The 16589-nt window shown below is 45.0% G+C and overlaps 1 protein-coding gene and 1 long non-coding RNA gene across 55 annotated transcripts in view; one reads left to right on the top strand and one right to left on the bottom strand.

Annotated features, from left to right (window-relative positions):
* The window catches only part of KIAA1217, an 853117-nt gene that overhangs the window by 16754 nt on the left and 819774 nt on the right, over positions 1-16589 (bottom strand). For 50 of the 54 annotated variants that reach the window (NM_001098500.3, NM_019590.5, XM_047425513.1 and 47 more), the window contains 4 exons: positions 10837-10967; positions 9161-9308; positions 6326-6767; positions 2971-3154 (listed from right to left, as the gene is read on the bottom strand). In NM_001098500.3, the coding sequence (NP_001091970.1) occupies positions 2971-3154; positions 6326-6767; positions 9161-9308; positions 10837-10967 (905 nt within the window). The remainder of the gene's footprint in view (positions 1-2970; positions 3155-6325; positions 6768-9160; positions 9309-10836; positions 10968-16589) is intronic. The other 4 variants (XM_047425495.1, XM_047425498.1, XM_047425517.1 and 1 more) reach the window with 1 other exon arrangement.
* On the top strand, positions 4274-5618 carry LOC124902394 (uncharacterized). The gene is made up of 2 exons (XR_007062089.1): positions 4274-4311; positions 5528-5618. It is a non-coding gene; the product is annotated as an uncharacterized LOC124902394 (long non-coding RNA).

The following is a 16589-nucleotide window of genomic DNA, read 5'->3' as shown; positions in this document are numbered from 1 at the left end:
GGCATTACAGGTGTGTGTCACAACACCTGGCTAATTTCTTTTCTTTTCTTTTTTTTTTTACAGGCGGGGTTTCTGCCATGTTGCACAGGCTGGTCTTGAACTCCTGGGATCAAGCAATCTGTCTGCCTCAGCCTCCCAAAGTGCTGGGATTACAGGTGTGAGCCACTGCACCAGGCCTTTTTTGTTTTATTTTTGAGACAGGGTATTGCTCTTTCACTCAGGCTGAAGTGCAGTGGTGCCATCACGGCTCACCTCAGCCTCAAACTCCTGGGCTCAAGCAATCTTCCTGCCCCAGCCCAGAGTAGCTGGAACTGCAGGTGTGTGCCACCATGCCCAGCGGATTTTTTAATTTTTGTAAAGAGGGGGGTCTCACTATGCTGCCCAGGCTGCTCTTGAAGTCCTGGCTTCAAGTGATTCCTCCTGTGTTGGCCTCCAAAAGCACTGGGATTATAGGCATGAGCCACCACGCCAGCCTTTATCAATTTTTGATCACTACCCATATTCCTCCATTATCCAAGTAGTCAGAAAATTCACACAAGGGGAAATACAAATGGTATTTAAAACTCTACACTTAGAAATTTGCCTCCTTAATAAACAAAAATACATTAAAAATGATAACTCCATGACAAATAAATTAAAATGACAGAAACTAATGTTTACAGGTCACGGATGCTACCTTTACACATCTCTGGTAGCCTGTCCATCACTGTACTGTTTCTGAGACCAGGTCAGAGATGCATTAAAAAAGAAAAAACAAGAGCATTTTAACTAAGTCAAAATACCTTGGGGAGTAATTTAAAAGTGATTTAGGCAAATTTAAAAAATCAGATAGAATCAAGAGCCAAAATGAGGTAAGTGAACAAAATGTAATATGTTTTTGTTGTTCAATCATGAGAAGGAACAGTTATGAGACCTATATAAAACATCAAAGGACTCTATGACAAAATTAATAATGGGGCAGAGAGAACAGAATTACACAAGATAAAAATGTGATGAGCTGGCCGGTGACTCAGGCCTGAAATCCCAGCACTATGGGAGACCGAGGCAGGTGGATCACCTGAGGTCAGGAGTTCGAGATCAGCCTGGCCAACACGGTGAAACCCATCTCTACTAAAAATACAAAAATTAGCTAGGCGTGGTGGTGGGTGCCTGTAATGCTAGCTATTTGGGAGGCTGAGGGAGAAGAATTGCTTGAACCCAGGAGGCGGAGGTTGCAGGGAGCCAAGATCATGCCACTAAACTCCAGCCTGGGTGACAGAGTGAGACTCAGTCTCAAAAAAAAAAAAAAAAATGTGATGAGCTAGGGCATTTTCTCCATCAGAAATTCTCCACGGGGACTGTGAGAGGAAAGTCACTTTGTGTGAGAAGAGCCGCCCCGCCCAGGACCCTAGACAGACCTGACACAGCTGGATGGTGGGGAAAGGTGTAAGAAAAGCCTCTTAGCACAGACTGAGGGGGAGGGATGCAGTGAGTGGAACTTTAGGGGATGAAATGGATGAAAACTGGGGAGGAGACAAGTGCAGTTGGTCCTCTGCATCCATGGGTTCCACATCTGTGGATTCAACCAACTGCAGATGGAAAAATATATATATATATATAAATTCCCTCCACATTCCAAAAAATAAAACTTGAATTTGCCTTGTGCCAAGTACTATGTTGAATCCACACAAATGAAGTAATGTGTAGGCATTGTATTAGGTATCATAAGTAATGTAGAGATGATTTAAAGTATATGGAGGCAGGCAGCAGAATCACACTGCTGAAGTGTTCTGGCCCGTAAAGTATATGGGAGGATGTGAGTAGGTTACATGCAAATACCATGCCATTTTATACCAGGAACTGGAACGTCCTCAGATTTTGGTATCCAATGGGAGTCCTGGAACTAATCTCCCATGGATACCAAGGGATGACTGTACGGTGGTTATAAATGGAATACACTTTAATGTTTCTCAACATGCAAGTCAAGATGGGGATTCCTTTCCAAATTAATTTTAGTTGCTGGATAAGGCACTGTGGAATGTGACACTGCAGAGACATTAGACTGCAAGTAAAATAACATCCGGGTCCATAATTTTAAGATCAGAATAAGACGCGTGGCTTGTAACTGATAGGATATTTAATAGGTTGAGATTCTTAGAAGTTATATTATTATTCACATGTTGGCATTTAACTTCCATAGTTGAGTTGGTTAAATACATATTCTAATAATTTTGATTAAAAAATGCAATTTTGCCTTATGATCTAATATCCCCCGAGAGCTCATAAAAGCTACCATTTTCTTTCTGCAAAAGCTCTTGTCTTAAATGCAGGCCTAATATTTTCCCAGCTCTTGCTGTGAAGTATCACAAATGCATAGAAAACGCAAACACTATGAATTTAAATTTTCCTTTATTGGCCATTATTCTAGAATCCTAACACAGAACTCAGCTTCTCTACTGTGGTTAGCATAAAACAGTAGTAGTGAAATCAAGTGTGGCTCAAGCCTGTAATTCTAGCTACTCTGGAAGCTAAGGTGGGAGGATTGCTTGAGGCCAGAAGTTCGAGACCAGCCAAGGCAACAGAGGAAGAAACCTGTCTCTAAAAAAATAAAAAAAAATTAGACATGTGCAGTGGTGTACACATCTACAGCCCTAGCTACTTCTTGGGAGGCTGAGGTGGGAGGATTGCTTGAGCCCAGTAGTTGGAAGTTATAGTGAGCTAAGATCATACCACTACACTCCAGCCTGGGTGGCAGAGCAAGACCCCATTTCAAAAACAAAAAAAAAAACAAAAAAAAAAAACAAAAAGAGAGAGATAGTAGTAAAGATCTAAGGAACACCAGAGGATTTGCTCTTCCAGGTTTTACATTTTGTAAGATTTGTAAGAACTGAGACATTGGTTCTGTTGATGAGTATGTGCTGTCGTGGATGGCACTGTATTTGCCCAAAGCCATGTACCTCCATATATTCCTGCTGTGGGACCGGAACTTACCTGAAAGTTCCACCTTGTCCACTGGGGCATCTCCCCTTGGCAGTGGGCCTGTGGCTGGCGGCATCTCCAGATTTGGTATTGACTTCATGATATTGGCCTGAGCTTCTTCTAGGAGCTTCTCAAACTCTTTCCCATTATAGTGATCCAGATTTTGCCTTTTTTCCTCCCATTTCTTTTCTGCTTTCTGGAGGAATATAGCACGTAAAGGAAGTTACGTGGACACATAGAGGAGAACAACGGACACTGGGACCTCTCAGAGGGTGGAGGGTGGGAGGAAGGAGAGGATCAGGAAAAATAACTAATGGGTACTGGGCTTAAGACCTGGGTGATGAAATAATCTGCACAACAAACCCATATGACATGTTTACTTATGCAACAAACCTGCAATTGTACCCCTGAACTTTAAAAAAGATGCTTTTAAAAGTATTTTTTCTACTACCAAGATGTATTTTTTTAGAGGCAGGGTCTCAATCTGTCATCCAAGCTGCAGTGCAGTGGTGTCATTATAGCTCACTGCAGCCTCCAACATCTGGGCTTAAGCAATCCTCCTGCCTCAGCCTCCTGAGTAACTAGGATTACACATGTTCAGCCACCACACATGGCTAATTTTTTTTTTTTTTAAGTAGCAATGGGTTCTGTTACGTTGCCCAGGCTGGTCTTAAACAACCTGCCTCAAGGAATCCTTCTGCCCTGAGTGAGACATGAGTCTCACTCAATTAAAAAAAAAATTAGGCTGGGCATGGTGGCTCATGCCTATAATCCAAAGTGCTGGGATTACAGGCATGAGCCACCATGCCCAGCCTAAAATTTTTTTAAATTGAGTTTTCATTGTAGAAGAGATGTCCAAGCAAACAAACAAAACCCACAACACTAAGAACAAAAATCCTGTGTCTTAGTACCACTTCTATCAAAGAATTGCTATATGCCCTCTGGGTCACATTGTCCTACTTATAAAATGAGGGAGGAGGTATTATTTAGATGACCTGTAAACTCCTTTAAGTTCCACAACAGAGAGTTATACATAAAATGCATTTTAAAACATCTGCATACTTTTTAAAAGAATGTTTTCTGTGACTTTTGAACCAGCACATTAATAATTCTAAGGGGGCAGAGTGGAAATTCACACCAAGATTAGTGGAACCTTATAACCTAAGAATTGGCAAAGATCATTGAATCAACATATGGGAACTTTGAGGTCCAGCGAGATGGAGAATTTGCCCAAGTTTCATTACATATAAATAATAGCCACCACCTTCACCATTCTAACCCTCCTTTATTTTTTCTTCCTAGCATTTATTACCACCTGGCATATACTTTTTTTCTGTCTCTTCCTACAAGTAGGTAAGTGTCTTGAGGGCAGAGACTTTGTCTCTTCTGTTCACTGGCTTTCCCCCGAGCCTACGAGGGCCTGGTACATAACAGGCTCAGTAATCTCTGTTGAATGAATAAAGCTCACCCCATTTGTCAGTGGCAGAGCTGGCAGAAAAACCCAGGCCTCCATACCTGTGGATCAGGGCATTTTCAGAGATGACTCGTGTCTCCTCTCAAAGCGTAAAATACACACATCACAATGATAACTATGCCCACTAGGTTCTCAACAGAGATTTGTTAAATAAGAGTGCCATCATACTGACATCCTTTAAATGTTGAGATGTTTAAAGTGGCAAGACGTCTTAAGTGACGGATCTGCCAATTCTTAGGAGGAAATGTCTTTCCCTCCCCTGCCCTACTAGGTACTGGGAATAGAATCACACTCTGTCAATCACATTTCTGTACCCTTGTGATATGCGTTTTTAAAATAGCTGGCTCTGATTAGAGGCAAGCCAGGGCCCTTGCGACACAGAGAAACCACCTAGTGTTCAGAGGCCCCGAGGCTGCGACCGTGGCTGTGGCAGTTTTGCCAGGTCGTCTCGATATACCCAACCTGACCTCTCCACTGGTGACTTTCAGTAGAGGCAGGAGGGTTACGACAAGGTTGTTGGGTGATAAAGCAAATGAGTGGAGGAAAAGTTACGAGGCAAGAAGAAAAAAGAAGTAGAAAAGACAAATGTGTTATCGGAGCACTGGTACCAGCCCTTGATAAAAAGAATATTTAAAAACATAATATGTCATTTGATCTTATGATTTTTAAGACAGGGTCTCACTCTGTCGCCCAGGCTAGAGTGCAGTGGCGTGATCTTGGCTCACTGAAGCCTTGACCTCCCTGGGCCTGGGTGATCCACCCACCTCAACCCCCTGAGTAGCTGGGGCTACAGGCACGCGCCACCATGCCCAGCTAATTTTTGTATTTTTTTTGGTAGAGTTGGGACTTTGTCATGTTGCCCAGGCTAGTCTTGCACTCATGTTCCAGTGATCGACCCGCCTCGGCCTCCCAAAGTGCTGGTATTACAGGTGTGAGCCACCACACATGGCCTCATGTCATTTGGTCTTAAGACCTAGTTTTCTCTTTTCATTCTGACTGCTCTACCGTTCATTCTTAGATGACTATAGTAATTTCTCATCCAGCTCTCTTAATTCTAGACCCACCACCTCAATCAATTCTGTACGTTGTTTCTAGATTAATTTCCAGAAGATGCCATTTAAAAAAAATCACGGATTAGAGCTGCAGCATTTCTCTGATACCTTCCAAATAAACTCCAAACATCATGGACTGTTTTTCAAGCACTCAAGTCAGTTTCCAGCCCATTTCCCCAGTCTTAGGTCCTCGTTCTTGTTCCACTTAGACAGGCTTAGTCATGGTCCCAGACTTTGATCCAGCATTTTAGTATCCTAGGATGCCCTCACCACCCTCCCATGCTAACCAGGTTCCACTTATCATCTAGATGTGTGGCAGACCCTCCCCAGGCTGCCTTCACCTCAGTGGAGTGCTTGAAGCCGGCTTGTCCTGGCCCAGGAGAGCTGATTGTTACATTTCTCCCAACTTCAGCAGTAGTGGTGTCATGTCATAACTTGAAATCAGCCATGGTTGCGATATTTACACCATGGAAATTGGCAAATGCCACACACAGATCTGCACGCACCCACTCTGCCCCCCCACCCCGCCGCCACAACCGCTACCAGAGAGCTGGTTGTTAAACATTTACCAGCACACTGCTGTCTCACCTTCCTACAGGCCAGGTGTCTCACCTTCCTACAGGCCAGGTGTCTCACCTTCCTACAGGCCAGGTGTCTCACCCTTCTCTGAAACCACATGACCTATCTCTTAACCTGGCCACTGAATCCCACTTCCACTTCCAAAACCCTGTCTCTGATCCATACACAATCATGTCATCATCTGACCTATAAATGCTTTAAGGGAAAGGTCCATGTATCAGACTCCTTTATGGGGTTATGAGAAACAGAAATAGGACTCTACCTCGATAGACACTGCCCTGTTCTTGGCACTCACACTGTGGATTTCTTCAATGAACAAGCTCTGCATGGCAGACCCATTCATGGGTATCTGTGGGGACTGCGGAGCCTGCGACATCTGCAGAGTGGAGGTTGCTTCCTGGGGGACGGCTGGGGAGCTGGCCACGTGAGGCAAGTTCTGAGCAGGGTTCAGCAGGGCCACGGAGTGCTGGGAGGGCTGGATGACCACAGGGGAGCTCTGCGCGTGGCGAACCATCATGCCGGACAAAGGCACCACTTCCGACTTCGCATCGCCAGGGGCACCTGTGCTGTGGAAGGGCTGGCCGGAGGTGTGGGCTGCCTCCTCCTGACTCTTCAGGACTTCTGCGGCTGTGGCCTTTTCCATAGCCATGTACTGTGCGGCTTGGGCTGCGTCCGTGCCTTTCAGGAGCCCATCAGTGACATGTCTAGGAGAAACCATGCACAGCGGCATTAACCCTCATGTCACTTTCTCATGGTGGTATACTTGCAGGCTATGTCATCCCAAAGCCAGGTGAGAGTCACACATCCCAAAGCTCAGAGTAGCCGCTTAGGGACATGTATAGACATATCCCTTTCTGCTGGTGCAGTTGTGCTCAGACCCTTGCAACTCCATCATTGTTTGGGGGGTGGGTAGAAGAAAATGAATCATGAGTCTAACAGCAGCCTCTCTAACTCCTCCGCCTGATTCTGGCCTATGCAGCCCTCAAATATGCTTAGTTCTAAGCCAAAAGTTTGCTTATTCCCTCCTCCTTTCACTGCCAAGCATCTTGGGTGGGCCGCCCACATTCTAATTCCTTCTGTTTGCTCTTCTGTATCTCAACCTGTTGCTCACTGGCTTCCCCACCTGGATTCAACGAAGTCTTGCCACAAGGTACACAGTGACTCGAAATCTAACGGTCGTGTTTATTCCTCAACTTCCTCTGGTGTTTGGAGTCATTTGAAGCTATATGTCCCTCCCCACCCATGATGTAGTGGAAAAGACAGAGTGTCTGGTGTCAGATCTGTGTTTGAATAGCAGTTAGTTCATGCTTTATATAACGTTGAGAACTTCGCCTCTTTAAGCCTCAGGTGCTTTTGCATAAAATGGAGTGATGAAGATGGGGATGACGATGGTGATGATAATGACTTCCTCAGGACCTGTCGTTAGGACTAACATTAACATTGTAAAGTTATGTGTGAGGCAATGTCAAACATGGTACTTGACCTCTAATTTTTAGTTAGTCCCTCATCCCCTTTTTATTATGTTACTTTTTTTTATTTGAAAAAAGACATTGCATTCTATAACTCTTCTGCTACTCAGTGCTCTTTCTTTTGCTGTTTCTTTTTTTACCCCAATCCCTTAGATTCTTAGAGATCCCCAAGGATTTGTTCTCTCCTTTCCCTATCATTCTGCCTCAACCATCTCTTCCATTTTCTTTTCTTTTAAGAAACAGGGCCTCGCTCTGTTGCCCAGGCTGGAGTGCAGTGGCTCAATCCTAGCCCACTGCAGCCTCAAACTCTTACGTTCAAGAGATCTTCCTGCCTCAGCCTCCTAAGTAGCTGGGACTACAGGTGTATACCACCCTTCCTGGCTAATTTTTAAAATAATTTTTTGTAGAGATGGGGTCTTGCTCTGTCACCCAGGCTGGAGTGCAGTGGTGTGATCATAGCTCACTGCAGCCTTGAACTCCTGGCCTAAGTGATCCTCCCATCTCAGCCTCCTGAGTAGCTGGGATTACGAGCACGTGCCACTGCACCCAGTGATCTTTCCCATTTTCAATAATCATCTCCATGAAGCTGACTTCATGCTCTGTCTCCCAGGCTGGAGTGCAGTGGCACAACCTCGGCTCACTGTAGCCTCCACCTCCTGGGTTCAAGTAATTCTCCTCCCTCAGCCTCCCAAGTAGCTGGGATTACAGGCACGCCACCGCCTGTAATACCTATGGGAATTCACTATGTTGGCCAGGCTAGTCTCCAACTCCTGACCTCAAGTGATCCACCCACCTCAGCTCCCAAAGTGCGGGGATGACAGGTGTGAGCCACTGTGCCTGGCCAGTGAAGGTACTTCTGGCAACACAAATTTTGCATGCATATGTGTTTTCAGTGAGTGTGGAGTCCTGGAATTTTCTTTGCAGTGAAATTCCTGAATGTCTTTTGGTCTTTACTCCACTGTGACCTCTTCGGTGAGCAGGTTTACCTTTGGTAAGGAAGCCTGGCCCAGGCCACTCAAAATGCTTTGTTCCTCTTTTCTAGGTGGGACCAACAGTCTCACAGATACTCCTTCAGGAGGTCATTTAAGAAAGACTTTGTTTACTTCTATTACATTTCTTTGAACTGAATTCATCTATGCCCCTGAAGTGAAGGAGGCTAATAAACTATTTCAATCAATTTTTCAACTTCAAAATGTTATTTTAAAAAACCCACCTTCCGATGATTTTTTTAAAAGAAATGGAGTCTTTCTCTGTTGCCCAGGCTGGAGTGCAGTGGCTCAGTCATAGCTCACTGCAGCCTCATACTCCTGGGCTCAAGGGATCCTTCTGCCTGTACCTCCTGAGTGGCCACCACACCTGGCCTTTCAGATGATTTTAAAACAATGTTTACTGTGTCTATTAATTTTAAACCCTAGGATGGGCTCCACCTAGCAATCCTGTGTTGAAGAATTAGAACCTCAAGCCATATTGCAATAAAAGTTCAAGGGTGAGAAGGACTTGGGGCTTTTCCTCAGGACACTGGATGTGTCCTGGGAGCATGGTGGAAGGCTGAAGTCCCAAACGTCCACTCTCGGTTTCCCAGTGCACCCCTCCGCAGGCCACCCCCAGCACGATGAGGGCCCGGTCACCTCCGCAGCATGGTCAGGACGTCTGTCATGCTGCGCACACGCTTCAGGAGACTGTCCAGCTTGTGTGGCTCCTCCTTCAGAAACCGCACGGCCTCCACTTCTATGCGCAGGATGGCTCGCATCTTGTTTTGTAAGGTTGGAAATTCTCCTGCAGGCCCAAACCAGCAGGTGAATTGGAGGAGAAAAAGCCAGAACGACAACCCTCATCCCGCACTCCGATACTGGACAGAGAAGTGCAGAGTTCACAAGCCACAGGGTGGCTCACACATCTTCAGGTGGCAGTGGGTTAAGAGCACAGAGGAGCATTGGAGAAACTCACCTTGGGCAAGGGTAAAGCTCCTCTAGGCCTGTTTCCTGTCTGTGTATTTGGGATAAAGCCAATTGACCATTAGGGTTATTATTATTACTTTTTAATTTGACTGGCTGACAGGGTCTCACTCTGTCATCCAGGCTGGAGTGCAGTGGCATGATCAGAGCTCACTGGAGCCTCAAACACCTGGGCTCAAGCGATCCTCCTGCCTCAGCTTCCTGGATAGCTGGGACTATTTAGGTGCTGCACACCACCATGCCCAGCTAATTCAACTTTTTTTTTCTTTTTTTGAGATGGAGTCTCCCTCTGTCACCCAGGCTGGAGTGCAGTGGCATGATCTTGGCTTACTGTAACCTCCGCCTCCTGGGTTCAAGTAATTCTCCTGCCTCAGCTGAGTAGCTGGGACTACAGGTTTGTGCCACCATGCCCAGCTAATTTTTGTATTTTTAGTACAGACAGGGTTTTACTCTGTTGGCTAGGCTGGTTTCGAACTCCTGACCTCAAGTGATCTGCCCGCCTCAGCCTCCCAAAGTGGCATGAGCCACTACGCCTGGCCAGAAAAAAAAAAAAAAAAAAACTTTTTTTTTTTTTTTAGAGATGGGGTTTTGTTATGTTTCCTAGGCTGGTCTTGAACTCCTGGCCTCAGGCGATTTTCCTGCCTTGGCCTCCCAAAGTGCTAGGATTGCAGGCGTGAGCCACCGTGCCTGGTTACAGGTTTTTAATTTAATTTAATTTTTTATTTTTTGTTTTTTATTTTTATTTTTTGGAGACAGGGTCTCACTCTGCCACCCAGGCTGCCAGGCTGGAGTGCAGTGGTGCAATGGTGGCTCACCATAGCCTTGACCTCACAGGCTCAAGAGATCCTACCACCTCAGCCTCCTAAGTAGCTGGTACCACAGGCATGCACCACCACACCTGGCTAATTTTTTTTTGTGTGTGTGTGTATATATATATATATATATATATATTTTTTTTTTTTTTTTTTTTTTTTTGGTAGAGATGTGAGTCTCTCTATATTGCCCAGGCTGGTCTTGAACTCCTGGGATCAAGTGATCCTCCCACCTTGTGTTTTTAACGGGTTTGGCACATGCATCCCGGTGCACTGTAAGAGCCTAGCAAATAGAAAGTGTTACTGGAATCATTTAGTGTGAAATCTTACAGCACCCACTCTAATACCAGCTCCAAGAAGAGGGGGATGTGCACCTACTTTGTGCTGTGGGGTATCCCAAGTGTCCAGAACAATGCCTGGCACATGTAGACGTTTAATAAATACTTGCATACATGAATGAATCCTCTATGTGGCAGATTTTTAAACACCGCAGGAAAGACAGCTCAGACTCCTCCCCCGACCCAGCAGAAAGTTTACCTTTCAGGGTAGCTACAGCCTCTCCCACTTGACGCAGGAGGAAAGCCCCGTCTTCCACGTCTTTCAGAGTAACCAATCGGCTGGCTGCCGTGGAGTCCTTCTTCAAGTCTTCAACAAAGTCTTCCAACTCGCTGCGGGAGCAAGGACACCAGCACATAGAGCTGAACACGAGGCCTCACAGAGGAAGAGGAGGGGCCGAGTGCCCGTCTCAGCCTCTGATTTTGTGTAGAGCCCCAGCTCCTCCCCCCTGCCTTTCGTGTGGTGGTGGTGGAGGGGGGTCGCTCATCTTTTAACAGTGGCTGGGAACATTTTGCAGTGGTGTGAGGCAGGTACAAGGAGGGTTTTCCAGGGAATGTTCTACATTGGCCAAAGGGACGATTGTGCCTGGCTAACAGAGGACCGAGTCTTTTTATTCAGTGGTGCTGATGCCAACAGAGGGACAGAAGGAGGGATAGGTGGGAGGGTGGGGTAGGAGAGAGAGGGAGAAAGAGAGAAAGAGAGAGAGAGGGAGACCGACCTGCGGTGCAGTAAAACAAGAAGCCCACAGTGGTTAATATCAGGCTTTTCAACTTCAGCATTTGACATTTTGGGCTGTGTAATTCTTCGCTGTGGTGTGGGGAAACTGCACGGTACGATGTTTAGCAGCGCCCCTGGCCTTCATCTACTGGATGCCAGTAGAAACCTTGCCTACCCCAGCTTGTGACAAACCAGAATGTCTCCAGACCCAGACATTGTCCAATGTCCCTGGGGAAGGGGGAGCAAAATTGCCCCTAAATGAGAACCTCTGGTTTATACTGATTGTCTCATCAACAAGGATGAACTCTTCTCCAAGCTACCAAGAGAAGAAATGATTGCAGAAAATAAAAATGACGACAGACGTGGTGTCTGTGGATAGAGGGGAATGCTAGCTCCAAGAGACGGAGATCGGAGACGAGGTCTCACCCTTGAGAAAACAACCACCTCCTTGGCCACATTACTAACCCCATCCTAAACACCTATAAATCTACGGAGAAAAATCTCAAAGGAAACAGGGATAAAGAACTTTCAGAAATGCGGACCACTAGGGGGCAGTAAGTGAACAGCGATTCCACCTCCTGGAGCCCGGATTGTGGAGCCAGCGTCCGAAAGAGAAAAAGGAATGCACAGTGTCGTCTGCAAACTGATGGCCCTCGAAGGCCCTTTCCACTTAGGTGGGCAAGTGGATGGAGCTCTGGATCGCATGGCAGCTGCGGGAGGGGTTCAGGCAGGATGCCACATGTGTTCAACAGGATCCAAGGGAAAATAACAAATTCCTCCCCTGCAAGAAGTGGGATGGAGTTTTTGGTGATGTCTTTGATTCTGTTATGAAAAATAAACCAAAATTGCTTGTGGCCATTTCAGATGAAATGATGCTACTTCAGGACCAGAGGGAGAAAGCCTCATCTGCTCATTGTCCACGTCTGTGAACTATGGAAAGGGGCCCAGTGTTCTGTGAACACACCCACGGGAAACTTCCTACAGCTATTGGATTCTTGACACGAAGAGATTGTGCCACCTCACTGAAGGGCTCTAAATAAATATGGTAACTTCGTGTGGAAAAGTTCTTTTCTATTGCACAACCAAACAGAATGACTTCCCTGTATTGACTGGACACAGGGTCCAGTCCTGCAAAGCTTTGCTGGAAGAGCTAAGGACCAAATATTTTCCTGGTTCCGTGAACAACCAACATGTCTGTCAGTGCGTAATTAATACTTCAAGGAGCTGTCATCTGACTCAAAGTCAGTCTGCCTAGAATTCTGTTTTGATCTCTTCTATACAATATGCCTCTTGGATTTCACAACCTTGCATACGGAGACGCTTAAACTTCACAGCTTTATGGAATATACAGAAATGTATATTGATACAATTGTACACAACAATATCACTTCTATGCAAACGTTTATGATACCTACTTTAGATAAAACATTAAAAATCAAATTTGTTCATTCAAAAATGTAACAGAGACATGGGGCTAAAATGAATGCTGGAAATAAATTTTTGACATGGTAATCAATATGACTTTTAAAATATCAGCTTTGCTCCACAGAATGTCAGATATTCATAGACGTCACAGTTTACAGCATTCTATTTGTTTAAGTGGCTTTTCATCCTAGCTTTGTTAAAAAGAAGCATGCAGTTTGTTGGAATGTATTTCACTTGACTGTTATTAGAAGACCAATTATTATTTTCATGTAGAAATTATCTAGACCCAATTTCTTTTCATAGTTTTATTTTTTTATTTTTAGACAGTCTCTCTCTGTCACCCAGGCTGGAGTGCAGTGGCCTGATCTTAGCTTACTGCAACCTCCGTCTCCCGGGTTCAAGTGATTCTCTTGCCTCAGCCTGCTGAGTAGCTGGGATTACAGGTGCCCGCCACCATGCCCAGCTAATTTTTGTATTTTCAGTAGAGATAGGGATTCGCCATGTTGGCCAGACTGGTCTCTAACTCCTGACCTCAAGTGATCTACCCACCTTGGCCTCCCAAAGTGCTGGGATTATAGGTGTGAATCACTGTGCCCAGCCCATCTCTTCACAGTTTTAGGCCCAAGTTTCTTCTCTCTGCCTTCTGAATGGCTCACCAGTAATTCAACCTAACATGCTCCACAAGGAGACTTATATTCTAGTACTTGGAAGAAGAAGAAGGAGAAGAACAAAAAGGAGAACGAGGAGGGAGAGGGGAAGGAAAGAGGGATATCACTGTTCTGATATTCCAGAGTTGAAATTTCTGGCTTTTAAAAAATAAGCTCTTTTTAAAAATCGACGCATAATAGATGTGAGTTTTGGGGTACATGTGATAATTTAGTACATATAATTTGTACAGATCAAATCAGTGTACTTGGGATATCCGTCACCTTAAATATTTGTCTTTTCTTCATGCTAGAAACATTCTAGTTCTTCTCTTCTAGCTATTTCCAGCTGTCTTTTATAACCTGCTGTCTTGCCATTCAGATCTAGCCATCCAATCAGTTAACCTACTTTATACCTTATGGAAGGAAAATTTACACTACCATTATTAAAAGGATATATATGTATATAGATATTTTTAGTTTTTTTTTTTTTTTTAACAGGGTTTTGCTCTGTTACCCAGGCTGGGGTGCAGTGGTGTGATCGTGCAGCCTTGACCCGCCAGGCTCAAGCCATGCTCCTACCTCAGCTTCCTGAGTAGCTGGGACCACAGGTGTGTGCCACCATGATCGGCTAGGGTTTATTTTTAATTTTAATTTTTATTTTGTAGACATTGGGTGTCCCTGTGTTCCTGCGTTGCCCAGGCTGGTCTTGAATTCCTGGGCTCAAGCGATCTTCCCACCTCAGCCTCCCAAAGTGCTGGGGTTACAGGCATGAGCCACTGCACCCAGCCAAAAGGATATATATTTCAAAAGGTGTTTTAAAGAAGAATTTTGAGAGCTAGTCTTAGACGGTGAATACCATAGGACGTTTTGCATTTGACTTCTTTCTTACTTCTACTATGTGGTTCAGGCCTCACTGCCTTTTGCCTGACGGATACAGTAGCTTCCCATATGGTCTCCTAGTCACTGATCTATTTTCCTCTTAATCAGTCCGGCACATGATCACCAGAGGGACCTCTCTCCAATACAGCTCTAGCTTTGCTACTTCCTTGATCAAAAACAAAAACCAAACAAACCCAAACACTCAGTGTCTTCCTCATCATTCTAGGCAGTAACTCTCAAATGTGAAAGTGCTTCAGAATCACCGGCTTTGTTTGTAAACTGCAGATTCCTAAGCCCCATCCACAGAAATTGTGAATCTGGGGTTGAACCCCGGAACTTTCAAGAAAAGCCAGAAATCCAGGTTTCTCTTACAGAATCTTCCAATCTCTGTAGGCACAGCCCAGACAGGCATCAAGCAGGTATGTGAGGCCTGAGTATGGTCTAAGATACAGGAAGTCAGTGTGCAAATGGGAATGACACTCCCCAAATATGGGATGTTATTAGTATCTTGCACCCAACTCTGCTGCCTAACTGGACTGCTCCCCAGTTCTCTAAAGACATCTTGCATTTTCCAGGCCAGAAACTTGTTGGTTTGCAGGGTTCTACTGCCTGGAAGTCCTTCCATCTCTAGCCTCTGCTGATGCAATCTCCCCATCTTCAAGGCCACCTCAGTTGAGTTTAACAAACCATTTCTTTCTTTCTTCTTTCTTGTTTTAGAGATTGAGTCTTGCTCTGATATCCATGCTGGAATGCAGAGGTGCAGTCATAGCTCACTGCAGCTTTGAACTCCTGGGCTCAAACGATCCTCCTGCTTCAGCCTCCTGAGTAGCTGAGACTACAGAGGCATGCCACCACAGCTGGCTAATTTTTTATTTTTAGTAGAGACAGGGTCCTGCTATATTGCCCAGCCTGTTCTTGAATTCCTGGTCCCAAGTGATTCTCCCACCTCAGCCTCCCAAACTGCTGGGACTATAGGCATGAACCATTGTGCCCAGCCTAACAAACCATTTCTGAAACTACTATGTGCAAGATACTGTTTGTGGCCTGTGGGTCATACAAAGAATGACTTCATTCAGGTTAAGTCTTCCTGATCCCTGGGTTAGTCTCTCTTTTGTGTGGGTACAACTGGTACCTGTAAATCCCCTGTTCGGGGCTATACTCCTATTTATCAGGTTGCCTTTGCTAGACTGAAGATCCTCAAGGGCTCTTTGCCTCTTTTACTCATCTGTGGCCTTCCCACAAATCCAACCAGATAAAGCCCTCTTATGATATGTTCGTTCCACTACCTTTTCTGTCTCATTCCTATGCTAGGCTGTAATCTCAGAGTATTATTGAGATTAAAGATGGCTTTTCTAGGCCAGAAGTGAGAATTATCTCAGCTAACCAATAAACACAATTTTTAAAAAGAAGAAATTTACTGGCCGGGCGTGGTGGCTCATGCCTGTAATCCCAACACTTTGGGAGGCTGAGGCAGGTGGATCACCTGAGGTCAGGAGTTTGAGACCAGCCTGACCAATATGGTGAAACGCCGTCTTTACTAAAAATACAAAAATTAGCTGGGCATCATGGTGTGCACCTGTAATCCCAGCTACTCGGGAGGCTGACATAGGAGAATAGGCTTGAACCCAGGAGTTGGAGGTTGCAGTGAGCCGAGATCATGCCACTGCACTCCAGCCTGGGCAACAGAGCAAGACTCCAACTCAAAAAAATTTTTTTTCATAATTTTATTGGAAAATTTATATAAATGTTTTTAAAAGGATATATATTTTTATTTTTATTTTTACTATTATTTTTTGAGACGGAGTTGTGCTCTGTTGCCCAGGCTGGAGTGCAGTGGTGCAATCTCGGCTCACCACAACCTTCCCCTCCCGGGTTCAAGCAATTCTCTTGCCTCAGCCTCCTGAGTAGCTGGGACTACAGGCACACACCACAATGGCCAGCTATTTTTTTTGTATTTTTAGTAGAGACGGGGTTTTGCCATGTTGGCCAGGCTGGTCTCGAACTCCTGACCTCAGGTGATCTGGCTGCCTCGGCCTCCCAAAGTGCTGGGATTACAGGTATGAGCCTCCGTGCCCAGCCAGGATATGCATTTTAAAAGAAGTTTTAAAGAAGAAACTGGAGACCTAGTTTTAGATAATTGGGCTGTCACAAAGACATTTCAGACAAATAACAGCCTTACCAACTCATGGTGGGTGATTAACTCTGTCTATAAATGTGTGAACTAAGTAGAATTTTGGAAGCTATTTTGAGATATGGATGAACAGCAGCCTAATTTAATTTATTAGG

This window comes from Homo sapiens, chromosome 10 (genome assembly GCF_000001405.40).
Source record: "Homo sapiens chromosome 10, GRCh38.p14 Primary Assembly".
Classification (NCBI taxonomy): domain Eukaryota; kingdom Metazoa; phylum Chordata; class Mammalia; order Primates; family Hominidae; genus Homo; species Homo sapiens.
This window is presented reverse-complemented; position numbering and strand designations above follow the sequence as displayed.